Source organism: Homo sapiens, chromosome 3 (assembly GCF_000001405.40).
Source record: "Homo sapiens chromosome 3, GRCh38.p14 Primary Assembly".
NCBI classification, from domain to species: domain Eukaryota; kingdom Metazoa; phylum Chordata; class Mammalia; order Primates; family Hominidae; genus Homo; species Homo sapiens.
The window spans coordinates 133,231,655-133,258,249 of record NC_000003.12 but is presented as its reverse complement, the minus strand read 5'-3'; the positions used below and the strand labels follow the sequence as shown (position 1 = coordinate 133,258,249).

General features: G+C 39.1%; 1 protein-coding gene and 1 long non-coding RNA gene across 4 annotated transcripts in view; one reads left to right on the top strand and one right to left on the bottom strand.

Moving 5' to 3' along the window:
* The window catches only part of TMEM108 (transmembrane protein 108), a 359,385-nt gene that overhangs the window by 139,526 nt on the left and 193,264 nt on the right, over window positions 1-26,595 (bottom strand). The window lies entirely within an intron of this gene.
* On the top strand, window positions 1,129-11,802 carry TMEM108-AS1 (TMEM108 antisense RNA 1). The gene is made up of 3 exons (NR_110812.1): window positions 1,129-1,225; window positions 4,798-4,888; window positions 9,653-11,802. It is a non-coding gene; the product is annotated as a TMEM108 antisense RNA 1 (long non-coding RNA).

The window sequence follows — 26,595 nt, the reverse complement described above, 5'->3', positions numbered from 1 at the left end:
AGTTTCTGGTGAGGGCCCGCTGGCTGGTTCATAGACCATACCTTCTCACCATGTCTTCAAACGGAGGAAGGGGTGAGAAAGCTCCTTAAGGTCTCTTTTATAAGGGCATTAATCCCATTCACGAGGGATCCACCCTCATGACCTAATCACCTCCCAAAGGCCCCACCTCCAAATACCATCACATTGGGCTTCAGGTTTCAACATATGAATTTGGGGGGATCATAAACATACAGTCTACAGCAGGTTATAAATGGTATTTTCACTATGGGACTCAGGAGCATCTGAATCCTGTCCTACCCATCTCCCTTTAAAGGAGATACATAAAGCAACCCCTCCTTTAGCAAAAATTTTCTGGGCCTCTGGCTTCTTCCAAACAGGGATAGCTCAGTGTTATACACTAAGTAAGTTGTTGCATGAAAAATAAAAAAGAAAAGCCCCTGCACCTGTCTTTCTCAACAGACAACTGGCTGAAGTTTACAACTAGGCAGTATCTACTCCACTTAGTTTAGATACACTACTTAACTACCAGAGAGTTTCATCCCTTTTCATTTGCTCCTTTACTCAGTAACAGCTCTCAAAGATGGGGAAGGAAGAGAGGCATATCTAAGTTTTTAATATTAGTCTAATTTGCCAACTTAAGCTTTCAAATACCACTGAATAAATGACAAGTAGATTCACTGAATTTAGAGGGAGAAACACAATACTTCTTTAGGTTTTGTTTCAGGGGGATCAAGTTTTAAGAGGCAGTGAAATGAAGTCAGGTTCAACTGTTCCAAATTTCTAGACACGAGCAAAGCTTAAGCCATGCAACAATGTATTGCTTTTCTAAGGATTATTAATAATGCATTTGTAACTACTCAGAGACTGGCAATAAACTTTCAGAGAGTGAATAAGAATGTAATCTGTCCACAGCAACATAGACAAATTACTTTGATAAATTCTTTACGAGGGTGCCTCATCTCCTGCAATTCTTGGATTGGTTACAAGTCTATAGTTAATCCTTCAATAACTCCCACAAGCACCTCATTACTCATAATACTGTGACATCCTGAGTTGTAAAAGAGGTGCTGTTATATAACACAGGCACTGTATAGCAGCCTTAGGTTATGAATATTAAGAGACAATCTCAAATGAGATAATATCAATAAAGACCTCCTGTCGTCTCTACCCAAGAAATAAACTAAAGGAAGGCAGTGTCCTTGCAGGCATTTTGACATCAGGGATGGTAAGTACAGGCACTGTTTCCCTTTCAGTTTCATGATTGTCATCCCTCTCACCAAGCCATGACTTTAGAACTATGTTCACGGGTAAGACTGACTCAGTAATTTTACTTTCTCATACTATCATTTTCTGGCTTTTGCATTAAGGTTATAGTAATTTCATGAAGTGAATTGTGGAGCACTTAACTGGCTAGTTTGGTCCATTTACATTTACTGTGCTTACTGACATTTGGATTTATTTCTGCCTTGTCCTACTTATCCAGATTTCTCTATATCTATTTTCCCCTTCTTGATTGCCTTCCTTTGGACTGAGTTTTTTCTTTCTTATTCTAATAGTTCTGTTTTACTGGTTTGGAAGTTATGAATTCTATGTCTTTTAGTAGTTTCCTTGAAATTTTGCCATGCCTACTAAAACTTGACTATGCCTAAGTTAATTGATATATTTTCCATCCTAACAATACAAGGAATTTATAAGACTTTGATTCTCTTCATCCCCTCCCAACTTAACTGCTATTATTGTCTAGTATATTTATTCTGTGTTGTTTTTCATTAACCCCACATATTAGACATTATTATATGTTTCATACAGAAAATGTTTGCTTGGGTTGACTACTATGTTTGCCAATTTCTTTGCTGGCTATTCCTTCTTATATTTAAGACCTTGTTTCTCAGAAGAAATGTTCTTTTTCCTGAGGCATATCTTTTAGAAGTTCTGTAAATGAATGTCCATCTGTGAAAATGTTCTACTTTAAAAAATATCTGAAAATGTCTTTATTTTACCCTCGTGCTTTAATGATTATTTGATCAGATCTTTAATTCCAAGTTGCTGGTTGTTTTCTATCAGCATTTTAAAGATATTATTTCACTGTCTCCTTGATTCTGTGGTGGCTGTTGAGAAGTCAACCATCAGTTTAAATATTATTCCTTTATAAGGAACATTTTCCTCTGGCTGCTTTTAGGATTATCTCTTTATTTGCTGTTTTTATAACCAGGCATGCATGCAGTTCTTGTTGTTTATTTATTTATTTATTTTTGAGAAGGAGACTCACTCTGTCAGCCAGTGCAGAGGCTGGAGTGCAGTGGCATGATCTCGGCTCACTGCAAGCTCCGCCTTCTAGGTTCAAGCAATTCTCCTGCCTCAGCCTCTTGAGTAGCTGGGATGACAGGCGTGCACCACCATGCCTGTCTAATTTTTATATTTTTAGTAGAGATGGGGTTTTACCATGTTGGCCAGGTTGGTCTTGAACTGCTGACCTCAGGTGATCTATCCACCTCGGCCACCCAAAGAGCTTGGATTACAGGCGTGAGCCACCACGCCCAGCCCTTATTATTTTTGAGACTCACAGTATTCCCAGAATCTGAGTATGCATATCTTTCATACATTCTAGAAAATATTCTAAGCCATTATGTTTTCAAATACGTCTCCCCCATTGTCTCTATTCTCTCGTTCTTGAACCCCCACCTGTACTTATGTTAGGCCTTCTCATACTAGCTTCTGTGTCTCAATTACCCTTTCTCATTTTTTTACTTTCTTATTTCTCCATAGTATATTCCAAGTAATTTCTTAAGCTCTGTTTTAGTACATTGATATTTTTAAAGAAGATGTTTAATCTGCTAGTTAAGCCATCCACTGAATTTTAAATTCCAATAATTACATGTTTTTAATTTTGTAAGTTGTAGCTGGGTCTTTTTTCAAGTTGAGTAGTCTATCGTCTCATAATCTTCCTCCCCTATTTCCATCTTTTGTTTCAGTATTTTTATATAGTGTAACAGACTGTCTCTAAAATGGATGCAACAATACTCTGGCTCCAAATGCCTTCTCAGAACCTTGCCAATCCTCATCAAGAAATGAAATACATTTTCCCTTCCCTCAAGCCTGGCTAGGCCATGTAATCTCCTTAATGAGTAAAATATTGTGGAAGTGATGCTGCATGACTCTGAAGGTAGGTTAGAAAGGATTATATGACTTCTATCTGGTTCTCTCTGCACACACCCTGGGAACCAATTAACATACTGTGAAGAAGTCAAGGCCACATGGAGAGGCCACATTTGGGTGTGTGGTTGATAACTCCAACTAAGGTCCCATTCACAGCCAGCATGAACCACCAGAAATATGAATGAATGAGACTTCAGAGTATTGCAGCAGTCAGCTGTCAAGTCACTTCAGCCTTCAGGCCATCTAGCTGAGGACCCAGACAACATGGAACAGAGACAAATCATTCTTCCTATATCCTAAGTCACTGACCCACAGACTCCATGAGCATAATACATGGTTGTTTTATGCCACGAAGGTCTGGGGTAATTGTTAAACATTAATAGATTATGAGAATATCAAGTAGTTCATATTCAGTATCTGATAATTCTAAGTTTTTGGCAGTCTTAATCAATCAATCATCAATCTCTTTTTTTTCTCCTCTCCCTTTTGCTGAGTCTTGCTTATCATAGCTTGCTTTCTTATGTATTTGGTAACTTTTTACTGAGATCACATATTCGACTGACGTTAATATGCAAGTATCTTGAGGCACCTTGGTTGAGAACATTTTCCTACCAAGAGAATTTCCATTTGTTTTAGCTGGGTCCCAGAAGGTGTTACCAACTGGAACTATTTTTATTTACATGGCATCTTAGAGTTATTCATATTGCATATTTAATAGGAATCAAAACCAAAACCACAAGAGGGCAGGCCTATGGTTTCCAATTCTCAAGGGAAGCCTTTGTTGTCACTATTTTTTTCTCCACTAAGAGCCACTACTGACCAATAGGTTTGTTCACTGGCTGCCTTTGTTATAGATGAAATTTTCCTAGGTACATTCATTCAACCTACAAACATTTATTTAATAATTTTATTTATTTTGGTAGAGATGAGATCTTGCTATGTTGCCCAAGTTGGTCTTGAACTCCTGGCCTCAAGGGATCCATCTGCCTTAGCCTCCCAAAGCACAGGGATTGCAGGTGTGACCCACTGTGCCTGGCTTGAATACTTTTTAATGTTCTTTTATAGGAATATGACATATATTCCTTTACATGACATATTTAGGAACCCCAGTAGTGCTGCAGCCAGGTTGACAATTTAGTCTTTAAAATTATCTAATTAGTTACCTCCCGAATTTGTTGGAATTATTTTGAACTATGTGAGATCAGGCATGTTATCTTTTTCCTTTTGTTTTCTTTAAAATTCATAATGACTACAACAGTGCAATATGCCCAAGAGATGCTCAGAACACATTTTTGAAGATGGCTGTCAGCCAACCAAGGGAAACCTGGTAAACAATGAAAGCAGGTAAAATTAAATTAACCACTGGCAACACGAAATCTTCCTATGGATTTAGAATTCAAAAACCCTATCAGAAAGGGTGGTATGTGTTTCTGTTTTCTGTACAAATCTAATAATACCTAAAGAGTTAAAGAATTTGATAAATTTAGTAAGCAGTAACAACTGGGATGGACTAACTTGAAGAGACCACATACTGTCATAATTTATGTTTCTTCTTTGGCCTTTGGTGGGCTTTTCCCATGTTATATGATTCCAGTGTGCAGATCTGATGACATTCTGGGCTAATTTTTGTTGTTTTTTTAGGGCAAAAACATACATCCATTTAAGAATTCTAGAATCAGAGACTAGGAAGAGTTGAAACAACCTTACAGATCACTTGATGCACTTTATATAGGTGAGTAAACTGAGACTTCTTATAAATGGGTAAACTGAGGTCCAGAAAGGTGAAATGATCAACAAGTTGGTAGGAGAGCCAGTATTAGAATCTATCTTTTCTGAATCTCAGACAAATGTTTCTGCCACCAAACCACTCTTCTTGTCTTATATGGTATTTCTTGAGTAAAACAACAACTGTAATAGGTTTCTCTGTACAGTCAACCCTTGGTATACTTGAGGGACTGGTCCCAGGACCCCTGAAGAAAACAAAATCCACAGATGCTCAAGTTCCTTGCAATAAAATGCCATTGTATTTGCATGTAACCTACACACATCCTCTTGTATACTTCAAATAGTTTCTTGATTACTTATAACACATAATACAGTTGGCCTTCTGTACCTAGAAGGGATTGGTTCCAGGATTCCCCTTGGATATCAAAATTTATGAATGCTCAAGTCTTTTATATAAAATTGGGTAGTACAGTCAGCCCTCCATATCCACAGATTCCACATCTGCACATTCAATCAACTGCAGATGGAAAATACATATGGTGTTTTATGTTTCTTTGAACACTGTATGCAAGAATGGAGATCACCTAGTCTAAGCCTCCCACTTTACAGATAAGTGATCAGAAGTTCGGAGGTTCAGAGAAGTCTCCAAATCTACTCATTTAGTTCTCAAAATGTCATAACTCCTTGACCCCTTCATCTTTTCTTTTTTGTTTCTCTACTTTTCATTATACTCTCAAACTCTCTTCCTCTTGATTTTTCTTGCCTCTTCTCTACAGAAACATGAAATATCTGCTTAAGAAACAAGACTTTCTTACATACTATTTTAAGAAATGTTGATCAGAACTTGAATTAGCAAAACCTAAAGAGCAAGTTATCAGCTAGATTCCAGTGTGCATGTATAGTTGCAGGCTCACGAATTGTGATTAAAATGCTATTGTTTTCCTAGTTACTCCATTGCTAAAATTTTCATTCAGATTCTCTACATATTAGCCACACAACACCTGGAGGACACAATTTATACAGCTTAGAATGTGAATGGTGCCCCCACAGTTGTGCAGCAAACAACCTGAATAACCTTAGATGGTAGTCCTGTTTTCATTCATCTCACATACCCAGAATTTTTCAATTCTTTTAATACCACCATAACAGAGAGTTGAAATGAATCATGTTTTTCTTTCTCTTTCAGTCTTTTCAATCCTGTGAATAGCAATATTTACCCCCATGAGTCTATCAAACCTTGAAATTAAGGTGGTTCTGGTCAGTCAGTCATTATTTCAAGGACACCCACATCAACAGATACATCGATGGTGACAGTAACAACAGAACTCCATAAGAGGAAACTATTAATAAAACAGTGCTGTAGGAGTTTCATAGCAACAGTGATTAGAATTAGTTATGTCTGAAAAACATGCCTATTACCTTTATTTTACTACATATCATAGGCCGTCAGAAAAATCCAATGCTTGACAGTCTGTCTTATTTCATTAGTTTTCTTTGCACCTAGAGTTTTTTAAGCTTAGAGCTAAGAACAGAGATGACTAGTTGACTATCCAAGATTCACATTTCCTTCCCACAGTGTAGATTTGCTCTTGGGAAGTGGCTCCCCAAATCTAGACAACATTTCCTTGTCCTCTTGCATCTAGATAGGACCACGTGACTAGACAGTGGGATAGGAGCAAAAATTTATATGTATCACTTCTAGTCAGAGGAGGATACCTATCCAATATCTCTTCCCTTTCTATGATAACCTTGAAGGCCGGCATTGAAGATGATGGGATTCTAAGTGGGAGAAGCTTGAGTCCCTGATTACATCTTGGAGGAAACCCAGACAACCAGAAATGTTTGTTTTGAAATTTCCTATGAGTGGGAAACAAACTTTTCTTATGTTAAGTCATAGTGATCTTTGAGTTGTTATAGCAGATGGCCTATACTGACTGAAACAATAAATATCTGTTGGTTGGCTGTATGAAACTCTTTAGAGACCTTATCTTAACATATTATAACCTCTGCAGTGTCTTTTATAGTAAGTGCTTAATAAATGTCCATAACAATTTGATTTGGAGAAGGATAATCTTTTAAAGCCATCCTTCTTGAGAGTTTAAAATTTTGTTTGTTTTAATTGACTTTTAAGGGATATGCCCAGGATATAGCACATATAATACTTGCACATATAACAGACATTGAAATATTTGTTGAATAAATGAAACTAATGCTTATCTTTGTCTATCAATCTCATTCCATGTCCCTTTGGGTTACAGAATGACTGATCATGGACTGGCTGAGATCCTAGGAAAGTTCACCAGCCCAGACTACCCAGCAAAGCTATATGAGTCAAAAACTAAACCTCAAATGAAGTGAAACAAACAAGCAAGCAAACAAAATTCAAGAGATTCTTGTCTTGATAACATGCTATACAATTTTAACACAAGTGGCTCAATACCAAAGAATTCTGCTTTAAGAGATGGGAGAGAAAGAGAAAGAAAAATGAGAGGCAAAGTAAATTTAGAGTTGAAAGGATGGATACATTAAAAAAATACACCATCACCCCTATGGTTAGAGATAATAGTTATGTTGTAAATTATTATATTTGCTACTCAGTATTATTTCCATATCAGAACAGAAATCCCCCCAAATCATATGGTAGCCTGAAAAACACAATTGTTTAACATTTCATGATTTGCAAATATAGCACAAAATCCTATTGAAAAATTACTGAGGCTATTGCTGCTAACTGTACAAGTGGACATGCTAACATCAAGAATAGAGTTGACCCTTGAACAATGCAGGAATTAGGGGTGCAAACCCCCTGCACAGTTGAAAATCCACATATAACTTTTGACTCACCCAAAACTTAACTACTAATAGCCTACTGTTGACCAGAAACCTTACTGATAACAAAACAGTTGATTAGCACATATTTTGTATGTTATATATACTGTATTCTTACAATAAAGTAAGCTAGAGAAAGGAAAATGTTATTAACAAAATCATAAGAAAGAAGGAACATATTTACTATTCATTAAGTGGAAGTAGATGATCATATAGGTCTTCATCCTTGTTGTCTTCACACTGGCTTCACGTAGGCTGAGGTAGAGCGGAAGAGGAGGGGTTGGTCTTGTTGTCTTAGGGGTGGCAGAGATGGGAGAAAATTCACATAGAAGTGGACCCACATTGTTCAAGGGCCAACTGTATAATGCATGAGAAGTCTATTTCCTAGCATAGTCCTATCTAGAACTAAGCCAGAGTCCTATATTTCTAGATCATTTGATGTTACTCTACTGACACCTCAAGAGCTTAATTGTTTGAAGTTTAAAAAGTACACATAACTACTCTGGAGGCCAAGTTGTGAGGACTGCTTGAGCCTAGAAGTTCTAGGCCAGCCTGGGCAACATAGTGAGACCCTTTCTCTTAAAAAAATTAAAAACATATAATGATTTTCATAAACTGAAATTTCCTTTTCTTATTAAAAATGTTTCTATTATATGCATGATAGTCACTTAAATTACCATATTACTCAAATAATTTAAAAGCTCTTTGTTCCTTAATGTAGTGAAAATTTATTCACCACAGAAGTTAATTTAAAATTATGGTACTTTATATGTTCATCTCAGCACTATTCACCATAACAAAGACGTGGAATCAACTGAGGTACCTATCAACAGTGGACTGGATAAGGAAAACGTGGTACATGTACACCATGGAATACTATACAGCCATAAAAAAGAATAAAACCATGTCCTCTGCAGCAACATGGATGGAGCTACAGGCTATTATACTAAGTGAATTAATGCAGAAACAGAAAACCTAATGGCACATGTTCTCACTTATAAGTGGGAGCTAAGCATTGGGTACTCATGGACATAAAGATGGCAACAATAGACACTGGAGACTACTGGAAGGTGGAGGGAAGGAGGAGCAGTAAAACATCGGTTTACATCTGTCATGCTCAGAGTGTTCCCTACTCTCGTTTTTCCCCTCAACCCCTTCAAAGCTTTTCTATAATTAACCACAGTGTGACAGAAATAGTTTAAGGGCTAACATTCTCTGCCCTTTACTGCACTGATGCAGCCTAATAGTTTTCCGTCTTTATTTATTTCCTCAGTTTCTTTTCACCCTCTGAAACACAGTGGGGCTGTCCCATTACTGTCTCTTCCTCCTATCACATCAGCTTCAATGAAGAGGCTTAAGTTCCACAACTAGAGTATCAGACTTGACGCAAATTGTGAATATTTCTTTTGGCACTGTGAAGGAGATGTCATGATTATACATGCTTCCTTTCTGGCCTTTCCTACCTCTACCCTCCCAGGCCCAGCTGGTACCTGGAATAAACTGGATGAGGAGGAGGCCCACCAGCACCCTGAAATACCTCTTTCATCATCTGATAACCCCCTCAGTGACCACGCAAAGGTAGCAGCTTTTAATCAGCAGCAGGAGTGAGTGCATTCTCTGAGGGCTAGATGAAGGCTAATTTAATTCAAGAAACAATTAAGTGGATGTATATTAGAAGCCAGATTTCTTTCCCCATCCTTTTTCACAGTTGCTATAATAATCCAAGACTTCTAAAAATACAGCCATAAGGATGGCACAACCAGAGCCTGCTAACCAAAAAATAATGAGGCTAAATGAGCTACAGATTCCTCAGCTTATAAAAGGAATAACCCACTGCCATAATGGGTTGCAACATTTCCTTTCCTAAATATTACCCAGCCAATATCTGATTTGAGAGCCAGTACCTCTATCCTGCTACTGTTTGTTTTATTTTTTTAAACAGACCCAGGGGAGAAACAAAAAGACCAACTACTAAAGCTGCTAAAACAAGATAAAGCATACTGCAAGGGAAAGGCTGGAGCAGTTCACTGGCTGAAGTTATAAACTCCATCAAGAGACACACAATCAGATGGCACAACTGTCTTCAGTGGGTCACAGTTTTCCAAATACAAAGGCGGTGCCTACCGAAGCTCTGGGATTCTGGAAAATATACTGGACTTGGAGTAAGACAATCTCAGTCCATGTTCCTAGTTCTAGGATTTTAGGCATAACACTTGGCTTTTAGGGCATTGTATTTTCTTTATAGTAACATGGTATTAAAATGATGCCTATCAACAGGCTTGTCAGGATGAGTCAACAGCATATTAGATGGGAAAACACCATAAAGTACAAAAGGCTTGTTATCGTCAGTCTCCTTTGGTTGTTATATTGGTTAAGAGGACTAATTGTTGCCTCTCTCCAAGTTCAGAACTAATTCAAACATACATAGAGGAGTCAGAGGTGGATCAAACATTATTTTTATTACTAGTTAAGTTGGATTTAAGAACATGGCTTGACTTATAGCTTCCTACTGTATCCTATAACACACTATTTTTTCATATTCTGCCCTTTCTCCTTGATTATACTATAAGCTTTTGGAGAGAAGAAATTATGCTTTATATCTCTCTGCATCCCTAGAGTTTTTCACACAGCCATAACCCCAGCAGGTGTGCTATCTGATAAAGGAGACTGCATTTGTACCACAGTTTTCTATGTGAAGCCTTTTTTCTCCACTGGCCTGGGAACTCTTGGAGGGCAGGGTTCATGTCTTTTCATTCCCAGTGCTTAGCATAATACCTAGCACATAGTAGATTCTTTATAAAAGTGTGTTGAAAGATCATGAAAACAGAAGGGTACCAAATGATCTGGTGCCACCCAGGGGTTGCAGAGAGGGATTTATTTATTTTTTATTTTTTTTTTAGGATTATTATGAATAACAGTGAATATAAATATGGATTGAAAATAGTCCTTTTGGTGATTTCAAAATTTTCTGGTTGGCCTCTGAGACAGGTGGCATCTTAATGAAAGAGGGGAAGCTCCCCATCTGGGAAGGCTCAGAAGTGGGGCCTACCCTATTTCCTTAACACTCAGGACACTAGGAAGCCTTGCAGTTTACTTGTATCCAAGTGAGGGGATTTGCCTATTCTGTTATCTACTTTGAAATGTTAGCTCCTAAAACATGGGCAGGTAGCTTAAAAAGACATCTGAAATAAACACTGGATTGAAGGCAATGCTAATAATGGAAGCACAAGTGAACAACAAGCAAAAGGCAGGCTGACACTTCTATTATTCTTGATATAAACTTTTCTTCAACCATGTTATAAAGTAAAAAATAACGATGAACTAAGCAGAGAGGGATTTAAAGGAGGGCTGTCTTCTAAGGATCCCATTCTTGACAGTTTGTTCATTTGGAAAATAGCACTACCTGCAAATTATTGTGATTGAAGGTTTTATTTGAGACAGTTTTCCCCAGGAGAAACTTCAGCTTCTGTTTACTTGTTAGGCACCCTGGCTATCTGGGCATCTGAGCCCTGGACATCTTAATTAGAGTTGGTCTGCTAATGTCCATAGCAGAGAGGAACTGTCACTTGGTAATTAAGTTAGAGCCATGACAGAAGCCTGTGACATCTGATGTTTCAGAATATAACAACCCTTGTTCTTCTCCCAAGGGATGCACACACCATGAAACAATTTCCTTTGGAGTTGCTGGTAGAATCTGCTAACATAATATCTAAGATGAGATGGCATGCAGAGGTCTCTGTAAGGGGTGAGGACCTCAAAACACTCTTGTGAAGTATGCTGCTCCTCAGTTCAGGGCCTTGCAGAGGATCTGAGACAACAAACCTTCCTATACAGATAAACTCTCGGTGCCTCAGTGGAGTGAGTGCATGAGATGTGGCTTACTCAGCTGTGGCCACCTGGGCAGGGTTGTTGTGGAGTCAGGTCCTCTGCTTTATGTGATTGTTTCTGTGTTTTTTAAGCCCTGAGCTGTGCTTCCAGAGATGTCTGCACCTGTGCACTGCATTTTGGACTATATGCTCTGTGGACGCTGTGAGAATCCCCTAACTTTGCTTTTTTTTTTTTAGGACAAATCAGAATAAAACAATTCAACTTTCAAGGTATTAAAAGGATTCACCAACTCCTATCTCTTAACACAATGGCCAAAAAACTGCTGGACTCAAGGCACAGTCATGTATTCCTGGCATAAGGCCTGCCTGGGTGTTCTAACTCAATGAGCCCCACATGCCAGACTATTTCCACAGAGCTGATATGGGACAGGAAGGGCTAAGGAACTTCAAAACTAATAGTTTGGTGCAACTGATATGGACCTGTGCAGTCACTGACCACATGTAGCACTGAGAACTTGAAATGTTGCAAGTGTGACTGAGGAAGTGAATTATTAAAACTTATTTTTAACTAAATTTAAAAGGTGATAGCTAATTCAGTCACTAGAAACATTTTAAGTATGTAAGTCTACTTTTCCAATCGTAAGTTTTATGAAATCTAACCAACTATTTATGAAAAAAATTCAGTGTCTAAATTGAAGATGTGCTATAAATGCACATTATATAGGAGATTTAAAAGACCTGGTCTGAAAAAAAAAAAGAAAGCAAATATTTCACTAGATTTTTTTATTGATTATATGTTGAAATAATGTTTTGAATACATTGGTTTAAATACAAATATTATTTAAATTGCTTTTGCCTATTTCTTTTCACTTTTTCTACTGTGGCTACTAGAAAATTTGAAATTACATATGTGCCTTGTGTTCTATGTCCATTAGACTGGGCCAACCTAGACCATAATTCTCATTCTCTCTAATGAAGTCTCATCCAACAATATGGACCACTTGAGAAACCTGCTCATTGTTCCTCTGTCCAGTTCATTCCACTTTAATGCCATGTTTCTTTGGTCTCCCATGTGCCAGGCATTGTTCTAGGCTAAGAATACACCATGTGGGCTCTTAACTGACTGTAGGCAATAAACAAAGAACAACAAAAAAAATTGTATAATTTCAAGTGCTGTGCAGAACTTAAACTAGGGAAAAGTAATGGAGAGAGACTGGGTGATGTGTTTATGCTGAGTGGTGAGGGGAACTGCTGTGGGGAGGTCCTGGGGCTGTAATCTGAACAGCAGGGAGCCACCCATGCCAGGCTGGGACAAACAACTGGTCAAAGAACTTCGCAAGGAATAAGTTGAAGTGCTTGAAGAAGGAAAAGAACATCAGTGTGACTGGAGTACTGCTGTGCAGAGGGATGTAGGAGAGGACATCCTAGCATGCACACTGCACTGAGAATCTGGACTCATGCTTAAGCCTCTTCTCTCACATCAACTAGGCTTGGATCCTGGGTAAGTCACTTCTCCACTCAGGATGGCCTCCATTTCCTCATGCACTAAACACAGTGGCAATTACTAAAGGATCTTCCTTTCAGGTCTGACGGCATAGACTTTTGTGACTCTTCTGTATATTCTAGGGAATAAAAGTCCTGTCCTAGAAAATTAAAGAAAGAGGAAACAAACAGAAACACTCTGACCCTTTAAAGATTTAGCAACTGCTTATCTGATGCTTACCTTTCTCTTCCTCTCCCTCTTCTTTAAAAAAATGAAAATTACATGACATCTAGCCAACCCACTCTCATATAACATCAAAGGGTAAACTTCTAAATTCCCTGTTGTACACACAAGAATGTTTTCCTCCAAAATCTGGACCACCTTCCTCACAAATACAATCAGATGTCCTGCACAGAGACTGCCCTTCTTTATAATTAGACTACAATTCCTATGAAAGTCAATATTTTCTAGTTTTCAGAACTTTACGTTTTCGAAGTATTCCTTGAACTTCGGGAAATTTGGAGGATTGTCAGGCTGGCAATGATTCTGCCAAAAGTTTCTTCTGTGGCAAAACATTATCAAGGAGACCACATCTATAAAAGCCACATCTCCAGGGAAAGAATAAAATACCTGGTCATACTCATTTATCATTATGATTTAATAATGCAAAAGAGAGGCCCATGGGACTACATCCAGGGCGAACTTCAATTACATCTCTAACCCAGGGGCATATGACAAATGTTTAACAATCAGCCCTTCACCAGCCATCTCCAGCCCTTACATGGAACCTCCATACTGGTTTTCAGAGAATGAGACTTAGGACGGGTTCATAGAGGAGAGGAGGAAGATGCAGTAAGTTGTATTTGTAACATGATACATGAGAACCAGGAACAAGGTCCTAGCAATGGAAGCGAGATGAGGTTTTACTTTATATTCAGAGAGATGGGAGGAGTAGGGGAGCACATGATGATGATGGTAAGAATAACATCAGCCCAACATTTATAGCACTTTTTAAAATGCTTTGTATATATTAAACCAATCAAACATGTTAACATGTAGGTCACTAATTTAAAATGTTTAAACAGAGCTTGGCACATCTTCAGTGCCCTTAACCAATGACTGAGAGATCCGAGATTATAATACTCTGTCACCCGATGAAGACAAGTCCAAGGTGTGACCTATAATCTCACCAGAACTCTCAAGACAGACTGCAACAAAGTCAATCTCTGTGGAGTTTTGCTTGATACTCATCCTTTCTTCCCTTTCCAGGCCCACTACCCTTTTCCCCTATCAGTTATTCCTGGGAAACCTTCCTAATAAGTCACTCCACAGGACTCTTGGTCTCAGGGTTCTAGGTCTGCTTCTAGGGACCGCCCAACCTACGACACTCATTAAAAAAGACATGAGGCCGGGCGCGGTGGCTCATGCCTGTAATCCCAGCACTTTTGGGAGGCCAAGGCGGGTGGATCACGAGGTCAGGAGATCGAGACCATCCTGGCTAACACAGTGAAACCCCGTCTCTACTAAAAAAAGTACAAAAAATTAGCCGGGCGTGGTGGCAGGCGCCTGTAGTCCCAGCTACTCGAGAGGCTGAGGCAGGAGAATGGCGTGAACCCAGGAGGCGGAGCTTGCAGTGAGCCGAGATCGCGCCACTCTACTCCAGCCTGGGTGACAGAACGAGACTCCGTCCCCCCCACCCCCCGCCCCAGAAAAAAAGACATGAATATTTCCCCAATCAGACCAATTTTAGTGTGAAATATGAACATTTTTCCTTATGAAATTTGTATAGCTAGGTTATTTAAATAAGAATTATATTTTATTTTTTAGCTCAATTATTTTACACTTAACTGCAGGTCAAAATAACAATAACATCAATTAAAGAACGTTAACTATATTTGTCTAAGCCTCCTTTTCCTCCTTCAGGGATTCTCCTGTGTCACAGTGAGAACTGGTTAGATGTGACCCCATGTGTTTATACAAGCAAGCTGCCCAGCCACTCTCACTTGCTTTTAAACAGCACTCCTCAGGCTCAGGGGCTGTCCCTACCTCATAGTGACCTCCGGGCCAGCAACTGGAATCTGAACAATTACCATCCCTTCTCAAGCGGCCCACTCTAGAGCTTCCAGCCCTTCCATCTCATTCATCTTCCACTGCTTCCAGGGATGCCCAGGCATGATATTGCTTCCCTGGCACAATATTGCTTCCCTGGGTGATTCTTGGACCCTTGTTTCTCTGCCTTTTGGGCAAAGTGGGCACATTGCAATTTCTTCATCTAACCAAGGAATTTCAAAGCAAACTGCTGCATTTCTTTTCATCTCAGAGGGTTCTGGGGCTCTCTCCTGAGCTGCTGTATACTTAGCTGACCTCAAGCTGCCAGCACAGAGCCTGGGCTCTGTTCTGTGGAAAAATAGTTGTGTGACTTTGAGAGAACATCTTACACTGTTCTCTCAAAGCACTTACACTCAGTGTTAATCTGACTCACTGATCACAGGACAGGGGATTCTCATTCTTGCCTCTTCTCATCAAACACGGAACAATCATGCATCTAGCACTAGCACTGGTTGACAAGGGCAGGAGAGACCCTGAGCACCAGTGCTACATGTGAGCATGAGAATCACGTGTAGAGCAGTTCCTGCCCATCAGTGTGCATCTCACCTCATCTGAAGCTCACATGCCTATAGCACTCAGTCCCCACACACCCTTCCCGGGAGCTTTTAGACCAGCTCAACACATTGGTTTTTAAAACACTCAGCTCTCTATCCCTGCCAGTTGTAGCCTTCTCTTGCTCTCACTTTATGGTTAAACTTCTCCAAAAAACTGTATAAACTCATGGTTCCATCTCTTCACCTTCTACTTACTTCTTGGCCTGTACCCTCCACTTACTGAGCACCTTTTCTGAACTCGGCACTATGCTAAGTGTGTCATATATTAATAACTCTATGCAGAATAGCAGTATCACAGTGTAGTTGATTGAATGGTGGTCTCCCAAAGGACATATCCACATCTTAACCCTGAAACCTCTGAATATGATCTTACTGGGAAAAATGGTCTTTGCAGATATAATTAAGCATCTTGGGATGAGCTTATGATAGATTATCCAAGTGTGCCTTAAATCCAATGACAGAGGAGAGATACATGGAAAAGAGGAGAAGGCCATGTAAAACGGAGGCAGAGATTGGAGCCTTAGAGCCTTCAGAGAGAGTGTGGCCTCCCCTCAACACCCTGATTTTGGACTTTTGGCCTCCAAAACTGTGAAAAAAAATTCTACTATTTTAAGCCACAAAGTTTGTGGTAATTTGTTGTAGAAGCCACAGGAGGCCGGGGGTGGTGGCTCATGCCTATAATCCCAGCACTTTGGGAGGCTGTGGCAGGTGGATTACCGAAGGTCAGGAGTTTGAGACCAGCTTGGCCAACATGGTAAAACTCTGTCTCTACTAAAAATGCAAAATTAGCTGGGCGTGGTGGCGTGCACCTGTAATCCCAGCTACTTGGGAGGCTGACCAGGAGAATCACTTGAACCTGGGAGACAGAGGTTGCAGTGCACCAAGATCATGCCATTGTACTCCAGCCTGGACAAAAAGAGCGAAATTCTGTCTCAAAAAAAAAAAAAAAAAAAAAAAGCCACAGGAAACTAATACAAACACTCATTTTACAGACAGGGAAACTGATGAAGATGCTCTGGAGGACATGAGCAATGCGGCTGCCCACAGCTCATAGCTGAGTGATATCCTGGTACAGTCGGAACAAAGGCAAATGATTTATCTTCAAGGAGCTGCTAGGATGCTTGCAGCAGATAATTGATTCCCTTGAGCAGAAAGGCTAGAAAACTTCTGAGGGGAGGAGCAAAGAGATGAGAAAGCTTGGTGATGCAAATGACCCAAAGGAAGGGAACGGAAATGGATGAACAGGAGAGGGAGAAAAGAAAGAAGATGCTGCAAAGGCAATGTATCTTAGGTTTGGGGGGCTTTTGGGGTTCTAGCTTGAAGAATCTCCAGTGTCCATCACATATATAAAGGCAATGATTAAGTGTTTCAAAAATGTTTCAGATATTTATTACAAAGACAATATGAAACTGCTGGAAAAAACTCTTTTTTCATTTAAAATATTCTGTTTGAATTTTCCTTCTTCAGAAAAATCTCCCAGAATTATACCAGATTTTAACAAAGACGACAGTTCTCTGTTGGTTAAAAATAGCCCCAATTCATGAGGTTTATGTGTATTAATGAGCATTCTACTGAATTCAAATCTGGGTGAGGACATCTAGACTACCTTTCACATTTCTTTTTCTTTTTTTTTTAAATAAGATTTGCCAAACAAAAATAAGATTTGCTTACAATATTACAACAAAAGTAATGTTATTTAATGATAGTAATACAGCAAACCCATGTTTGAAAGGGATTTTCAACACATGAAATGTTTTTATACCCTACCCATTTAACTCTCACAACAATCCCTAAGGTAGACAATATACTGGTCACCTGTGCATTGTAGTTGAGGACAATGAGGGAGCTCTGGGAGCTGAAGCACTCTGTGCAGTCATATAGCTAGTAAGAGACAACATGAGAGCTTGAAATTCTATGCTTTCTCCCACCATATATTTTAGCAAAAATACTTTCCTATAGAAAATTGGGTTTACTCATTAAGGGTTAACATTTGAATTTACATAAATCAACAGCTCTCCTAAGTATGAGCACTACTTCCCTCACCTACATTCTTCTGCCAACAGTGTAATGGAATGTACTTAAATTCATAAAATTGAATTTCTTTAAAATATTTTTTCTTAGTCCCCATTGGCATTGTTTACAATGAGAATGTCTTATTAAACTTTTGTTTTATCTGCAGAAGAGAATTGTTGACTTATGCAAATTTAAAATCACTACCTAAAACATAAGACATTAAATCAACATGACACTTTCAAGGACCTGGTATGCCTAAACTTTCTGGGTTAATATCATCTTGGAAAGAGTCACTTCCTCAAATTTTCTATGTGAATGACTTACCCCTCAGAAGTAAAGAGATCTATTCTCCCTAGAGAACTTTTGCAAATCTCTTCATAATCAAGCCCCCCAAAAACAGCCTCTAATTTTTGATTTGCAAAAGAATTACACAGCATAAGAAAAAAAGTCTTATAAAATCAAGTTCTAAAATGAGACAGCTGCAATAAGCAGTCAAGACCAAGAGTTACTCAAAAGGTGTTTTCCTTTTGCTTTATAACCCTAGCCAGCCCATTCCTTGTGCCCTTCTCATTCTTAAAACAGAGTAAAAACTAACTTCCAGTACATCCTGAAGAATAACATGAAACTTCAAGTTCTAACAGTTCCTAATCCCACAACACTTGAGAGGAATTCTGCTAGCTCCTTCTCTGTCACCTTCTCTCCATTCTCCTTCCTAACTGATCCTGGTTTTATTCCAGAACTCACTTCTCCATCATGTAGCCCAAGTGAGGTAGGGAAGCTAAAAGCGTCTCCTGCTCCTGGATAGCCCTTCATAAGTCTACAATAGCGATTCTCAAGGTCTCTGGACCAAAGCTTCAGCACTACTAGAGACTTAGACATGTAATTCTTGGCCCAGCCCCAGATCTACTGAATGAGAAACTCTGGGGGTGGCCCAGTGATCAGTGTTTAAATAAGCCCTTAAGGTGATTCTGTTGTGCACTAAAGTTTAAGAACCAGAGATCAAAGCTAGTGACCCCAGCCCTGGTTGCGCATCAGAATCACTGGATGCCCCAGCCCCATGCCCAAAGATTCTGATTTAATTGCTCTGGGACGGGGTCTGGGAAAGTGGATTTATTAAAAAAAGTTCCCGAGGTGATTCTAGTGTACAGCCAGATTTGGGAAACACTAATCAAAGCCAATCAAGTTAATCTAGTCTAAAATACTGAATTTTAGTGTCAATGAAGTGGATGCCCTCCAATATCCATAAGGCCAACTGATGACCAGAAGTGTCATTACTGCTACTGCAGCCACTGCTAGTAGCACAAGGGAACTGCAGGCTGATGAACTGGTCTACGCCACTAAATGCTGTTTATTTCCTCAAGAGCAATGAGTCTTTGATAGCTCAGGAATGATGAATTTGTAAGGGGTGGGGGACACAAAACCCAGCACCTATTTAGCAGTGGTATGTTTTGGATGGAAAAGGATGAAAATAATTTGGAAAATAATTTGTGGTATGCCAGGACTTGAACTCACGCAGTCTTAATCACTGTCCATGAAGGCTGTGACCAAGCAGTGTAAAACACAAGGGAAGACAACTTCACTGGGAAAGGTGGAGGAGGAAAGGAAGACCCCATAAAGAATGGTGAAGTTCCGTTCATCTCCTCACACTAGGGAAATGACTCTGACTCTTATGTATACAGAATGGCAATATCTGTATGATTGTCTGTAACATCTAAAAGGTCACGTATTTTTGGAGTCAAAATTTGTTTGGACCTAAATACTATGTCATTTATAATTCATATCAACTTTCCTTCCTCAACTACAGGAAAAATTTCCTCTCATTTATCATGAGAAACAAGCCATGAAGACAAAATACATGAGCCAGCTTCAGCTAGAGATGACCCAGCTCCTTGAATCTCTCTCTAGTTTCTGAAGGGAAATTCTTTTGTTCCATGAGGCCCACCTAGGGTGGGAGCTAGAACTACAGATGGGTTTGCTGAGACCTGATACTAAAGGAGAATTTAGTGGCAGAGGCTCAGAAAGTACATTTCCCAGTTAGCCACAATCCAAATAATTCTGTATTTTATCTATACTTGTGTTTCCATATTGTAAGATGTAATTGATAGTGTGTGATTGTTTAAGAAACGTTTTGTCTTTTTTAGTGGTTCATAAAATAACAGTGGCTCTTAAAACTACTAGCATCTTAGATTTGACGAAATATGTTAATTAAATCAAACATGTATGACTCCCATTATGAATCAAGCTCCCGATTAGACTGGAAACAAAGGAATGGATGATGAAATAGAATTCCCATGCCTGAGAAGCTAGACAAAAAGAAAACAAGCACATGTATAATCAGAGCTAAATATTTTGTGGTGGACAGAGTATGTGTTATGATGGCTGGAACACACTGTGTTTGTCTATTGGGTAGAATTGTGTGGTGTATGTGTGTGAGTGAGGGAGGAGGGATATGAAAGGGAGAAGGGATAAGAGATGAGGCTGGAAAGGTAGTCCGGGACCAGACTATTAATGACTCTAACACTAACCTAAGGAATTTAGGATTTATCCTTTAGGTCAGAGGTTCTCAAACATTTTGGTCTCATGTCCCCTTCATACTCTTAAAATTTATTGAGGACTCCCCAAAGAGCTTTTCAAAATATAGGTTATATCTATTGGTATTTACTATATTAAAAGTTAAAGCTGTAAAACAAAAAATATTAACTCATGACAAACTCATTACTCTTAACAAATAGCATTTTTAATGAAAAAGCATTTGCTAACACAAAAAATTAGAAGGATGGCATTGTTTTATATTTTTGTAAATCTCTTTAGTGTCTGGCTTATGAAAGACAGCTGGTTCTCTTATCAGCTTCTGCATTCAATCTGTTGAGATATGTTATTTTGGTTGAAGTACAGTACATGGAAAAAAATCTGGCTTTATAAATATGTATAGTTGGAAAAAGAAGGGCCTCACAGACTTCTTGTAAAAGCCTCAGGGGTCCCTAGGGATTCTTGGATCACATTATGAGAACTGCTGCTTTTGGTAATGCAAAGCCATGGAAAGATTATCAGATGACAAGCAGCTAATTTGGCAGTAATGTGAAGATGAATTAGAAGGAGAAGACCTGAGAATAGGACAATAAACAGAGGACTATTAAAATGGTCCAGAAAGAACATAGAAAGCTGTTCTCTAAAGCTGAGACAATGGGGATGCAGAGACATGAATGGATTCATGTGTTAAGTTCAACAGGAGCTAGTATTGCTAGTATCCAAATGCATCCAGGGTAGGGTGGGAGGAAAGTCAAGGATGGCTTCATGTATTTGGGATTGCAAAATCTGGTTGGATGGTGATAATACAAAGGTGTACATACAGCATAAGAAGATCATTTCTGGTGTTAGCTGGACAAAAAAAAGGAAGAAGAAATGAGCCAGCAAGGGAAATATGCAGATTCCTGACCCATGACTCTGAGAGACACAGACAAATGCGCAGACCCTAGGAAGCTTACCTCTTTAAACTACTGTACTCAATGCTGTTTAAAACAATACCAAATCACTTCAAAATGCAAATATCTCTGACAGCTAAGGAGGGAGGAGCTCCTTAACTCTCCTTAACCAGTAAGCACATCTTGGTATTACTTAGTTTAGTCAAATTGCTTTCCATCTTAATGGAATACATGAGAACTTCAGATCACAGACCACAGGAGGACATCTGAGATGAGAAGGTAGCATGTTGGGGGCTTTGGGTCTAATATGGGACAAAAATAAGCATGGAAGAAGAAAAAGAGAGGGGAAATGTCAGTCTCTTGAAAAAGATATAGTTATGTGGATCCTTCTAGTTTAAGAAGTAACTGGAAGAAAGAATAGTCACTGGGTAGCTGGTAGGCAAGAAGGAATGGTTAGAGTTGAAAAGGCACCAAAGAGAGTTCTCTCACTTTAAAGTGTTTTCAAGGGTTCCACTCAGTTCCAGAGATCACATGAGAAGCAGATCATCCCATCAGAAAATAGGTTTCAAGTGGAAATGAACTCCCAAGCAGCTTCTCATTAGGCCCAGAAAAATCTACAGACAGGTAATATGGATTTGTGTGTGTGTGTTTGTGCGTATACATACATATAATTCAAATCTGAGACTGAGACATGATCTCCATGCCCCAGGTAAAGATGGCAGAAAAGGGGGTGTATTTTCCTTCTAAATTCTATAGAGTAGGGGTCCAAATCCATACCAGTAGTTCTTTTTTCTCCTTCTTCCCCTCCTTTTCCTAAGATAGGGACCTACAGACAGTTATCTGAGTTGAACAAAAAATTACTTTGTGTGATTTGACACAGACCAGTAGATGCAAAGGGTGCATGAATGAGCTAGCAGGGTGTACTAGAGTAACAATACAGAGCATGATTTAAGAAATTCAAATGTCTGGGTGTATAGCAAACACTGAAGTTACAAAACATAATCACTGCTTAATTCTAAGTATTTAAACTATTCTGATTTGAATAGATATTGATATGTAAAAACATCATATTCTCATAAAATAATAATTGCCTTAGTCTTCTTAACAAAGTAGCATAACAATTTTCCAGTACACAGTACCCAAGCAAACACCACATCTGCTAAATCAAGACTCAGATTCAGACCCTCCTCAGCAGTGGCATGGTCTTCAGGGATTGTGATGACGCTCTTTACCTTCCATTATTAAAAACTTTTTCAAAAAATTGTGATGTGGCTTGGCAAAAGCAGTCTTGATCATGTCAATTCCTTTCTCTGTAGAATAGGGTCAATAATAATGCCCCACTTGCCTTACAAGGTTGTTGTGAGGACCAAATTATGGGAAAATGCTTTGTGAACCAGAAGGTTCCACACAAATGTTAGTTAGAGCAGAGCTCCTGGTTAGATTGTCCTTATGTTTTCCAGGCAGGAAGGCCAGTAAGAAAGCTGGCATTTATGTAGGACTTCTATATGGCATGTCATCTCATTCAATACCACCTCAGGTAGTGAGTGATCACATCCCATTTTACATCTAGGGCTCACAGAGGCTTAAGTAACTTACCTAAGGTAAGTCACCTAGAAAGTGGTAAAACTTTCCCCATTGCTTGTTTTTCTCAGGTTTGTCAAAGATCAGATAGTTGTAGATATGCAGCGTTATTTCTGAGGGCTCTCTTCTGTTCCACTGATCTATATCTCTGTTTTGGTACTAGTACCATGCTGTTTTGGTTACTGCAGCCTTGTAGTATAGTTTGAAGTCAGGTAGCGTGATGCCTCCAGCTTTGTTCTTTTGGCTTAGGATTGACTTGGTGATGCAGGCTCTTTTTTGGTTCCATATGAACTTTAAAGTAGTTTTTTCCAATTCTGTGAAGAAAGTCATTGGTAGCTTGATGGGGATGGCATTGAATCTATAAATTACCTTGGGCAGTATGGCCATTTTCACGACATTGATTCTTCCTATCCATGAACATGGAATGTTCTTCCATTTGTTTGTATCCTCTTTTATTTCATTGAGCAGTGGTTTGTAGTTCTCCTTGAAGAGGTCCTTCACATCCCTTGTAAGTTGGATTCCTAGGTATTTTATTCCCTTTGAAGCAATTGTGAATGGGAGTTCACTCATGATTTGGCTCTCTATTTGTCTGTTATTGACGTATAGGAATGCTTGTGATTTTTGCATATGGATTTTGTATCCTGAGACTGTTGAAGTTGCTTATCAGCTTAAGCAGATTTTGGGCTGAGAGGACAATGGGGTTTTCTAGATATACAATCATGTCGTCTGCAAACAGGGACAATTTGACTTCCTCTTTTCCTAATTGAATACCCTTTATTTCCTTCTCCTGCCTAATTGCCCTGACCAGAACTTCCAACACTATGTTGAATAGGAGTGGTGAGAGAGGGCATCTTTGTCTTGTGCCAGTTTTCAAAGGGAATGCTTCCAGTTTTTGCCCATTCAGTATGATATTGGCTGTGGGTTTGTCATAGATAGCTCTTATTATTTTGAGATACGTCACATCAATACCTAATTTATTGAGAGTTTTTAGCATGAAGCGTTGTTGAATTTTGTTAAAGGCCTTTTCTGTATCTATTGAGATAATCATGTGGTTTTTGTCTTTGGTTCTGTTTATATGCTGGATTACATTTATTGATGTGCGTATATTGAAACAGCCTTGCATCCCAGGGATGAAGCCCACTTGATCATGGTGGATAAGCGTTTTGATGTGCTGCTGGATTTGGTTTGCCAGTATTTTATTGAGGATTTTTGCATCAATGTTCATCAAGGATATTGGTCTAAAATTCAGAGATTCCCTATTTAATAAATGGTGCTGGGAAAACTGGCTAGCCATATGTAGAAAGCTGAAACTGGATCCCTTCCTTACACCTTATACAAAAATTAATTCAAGATGGATTAAAGACTTAAATGTTAGACCTAAAACCATAAAAACCCTAGAAGAAAACCTAGGCATTACCATTCAGGACATAGGCATGGGCAAGCACTTCATGTCTAAAACACCAAAAGCAATGGCAACAAAAGCCAAAATTGACAAATGGGATCTAAATAAACTAAAGAGCTTCTGCACAGCAAAAGAAACTACCATCAGAGTGAACAGGCAACCTACAAAATGGGAGAAAATTTTCACAACCTACTCATCTGACAAAGGGCTAATATCCAGAATCTACAGTGAACTCAAACAAATTTACAAGAAAAAAACAAACAACCCCATCAAAAAGTGGGCAAAGGATATGAACAGACACTTCTCAAAAGAAGACATTTATGCAGCCAAAAGACACATGAAAAAATGCTCATCATCACTGGCCATCAGAGAAATGCAAATCAAAACCACAATGAGATACCATCTCACACCAGGTAGAATGGCGATCATTAAAAAGTCAGGAAACAACAGGTGCTGGAGAGGATGTGGAGAAATAGGAACACTTTTACACTGTTGGTGGGACTGTAAACTAGTTCAACCATTGTGGAAGTCAGTGTGGCAATTCCTCAGGGATCTAGAACTAGAAATACCATGTGACCCAGCCATCCCATTACTGGGTATATACCCAAAGGATTATAAATCATGCTGCCATAAAGACACATGCACACGTATGTTTATTGTGGCACTATTCACAACAGCAAAGACTTGGAACCAACCCAAATGTCCAACAATGACAGACTGGATTAAGAAAATGTGGCACATATACACCATGGAATACTATGCAGCCATAAAAAATGATGAGTTTATGTCCTTTGTAGGGACATGGATGAAATTGGAAATCATCATTCTCAGTAAACTATTGCAAGAACAAAAAACCAAACACTGCATATTCTCACTCATAGGTGGGAATTGAACAATGAGAACACGTGGACACAGGAAGGGGAACATCACACTCTGGGGACTGTTGTGGGGTGGCGGAGCGGGGAGGGATAGCTTTAGGAGATATACCTAATGCTAAATGACGAGTTAATGGGTGCAGCACACCAGCATGGCACATGTATACATATGTAACTAACCTGCACATTGTGCACATGTACCCTAAAACTTAAAGTATAATAATAATAAAATTAAAAAAAAAAAAAACGAAAGTGGTAAACCTAGGATTTGAACCTGTCTGATGTCTCAAAAACACAAGTATTCTTAGGACTAGCTTTAACATCTAATTGATTATTTAGGTCTCAGAAAGAAAAATGAATGACAGTATCTGGTTTTTATATAACCATAAAGGCTCTCATCACCACCCTCATACTCAAGCTTTCAGCTTTTCCAAGATATCATGTAAAATGTGTTAAACCTTCTGAAAGGGCTAAAGCCAGTGGGATGAAACACTCAGTACCACATTCCTGAGTAGAGCTCAGGAAATAAAAACAAAGGCAGAGATAGTCAGTTGTAACAAAAGTAAACAATTAAAACCTCAATAGCATTGCCTGCCAAAGACTGCATCCCTTAGCCCCAGCTGGGCACATACAAGCCTCAGTGACTATTGATTATGATTCAGTGATCTAAAGAACATCTTTTTATTTTGGTCTTACTGTCTTAGTCTGTTTAGTGTTGCTATAAAGAAATACCTGAGGCTGTGTAATTCATAAAGAAAAGAGGTTTATTTGGCTCACAGTTCTGCAGGCTAAACAAGAAGCACGGCACCAGCATCTGCATCTGATAAGGGCCTCAAGCTGCTTCCACTGGTGGTGGAAGGTAAAGGGGAGCCAATATGTGCAGAGATCACATGGTGAGTGAGTGGATGCAAGGTAGAGGGAGGTGCCAGATTCTTTCAAACAACCAGCTCTTGGGGCATCTCTCAAGGTAACAAAAGAGCTAGAACTTGTTCACTTTCCTTCTCCCAGAGAGAGCACTAATCTATTAATGAGAGATCCACCTCCATGACCCAAACCCCTCTCATTTAGCCCTACCTCCAAAACGGGATAAAATTTCAACATTAGACTTGGAGGGATCAGATATCCAAACCCCAGCACTCATCTAACATCACTCGCAAGATGCAAACTTTACTGCTTATGGGCTAGAACTCTCCCTATCTTAGCTATAAGGGCAGCAGAGGGACCACACTGCTGATTTTTCCTGTGTGTGGTAGGGCACCATGGCAGAATGAAGAAAAGGGCACATATGCAGGGGTCAGAGAGACATGGCTGTGAACTGAACTCACTGAGCACCCTGGGCCAGTCCTTGCTTATCCATCTGTAATGCTTCTTCATCTTGAAGCATCTGCCTCTGGAATAATTGAGGAGACTTAGGTAAACTGTCAGCAAATCCTTGTGAACATAGTAGGCACAAAGGAGGGTATAGCTTCTATATTAATAATGACTTATGAACTGGCTAATGTCCACTAGTAATTGTTTTTGTTTTTTTAAACAAATAGATATTCTCTGTAGCAGACTAAAGATAACTGTTATAAGCTGTTGCTCCTCTTTTCTTTGAGAAGTGAAGCCTAATTCCTCTT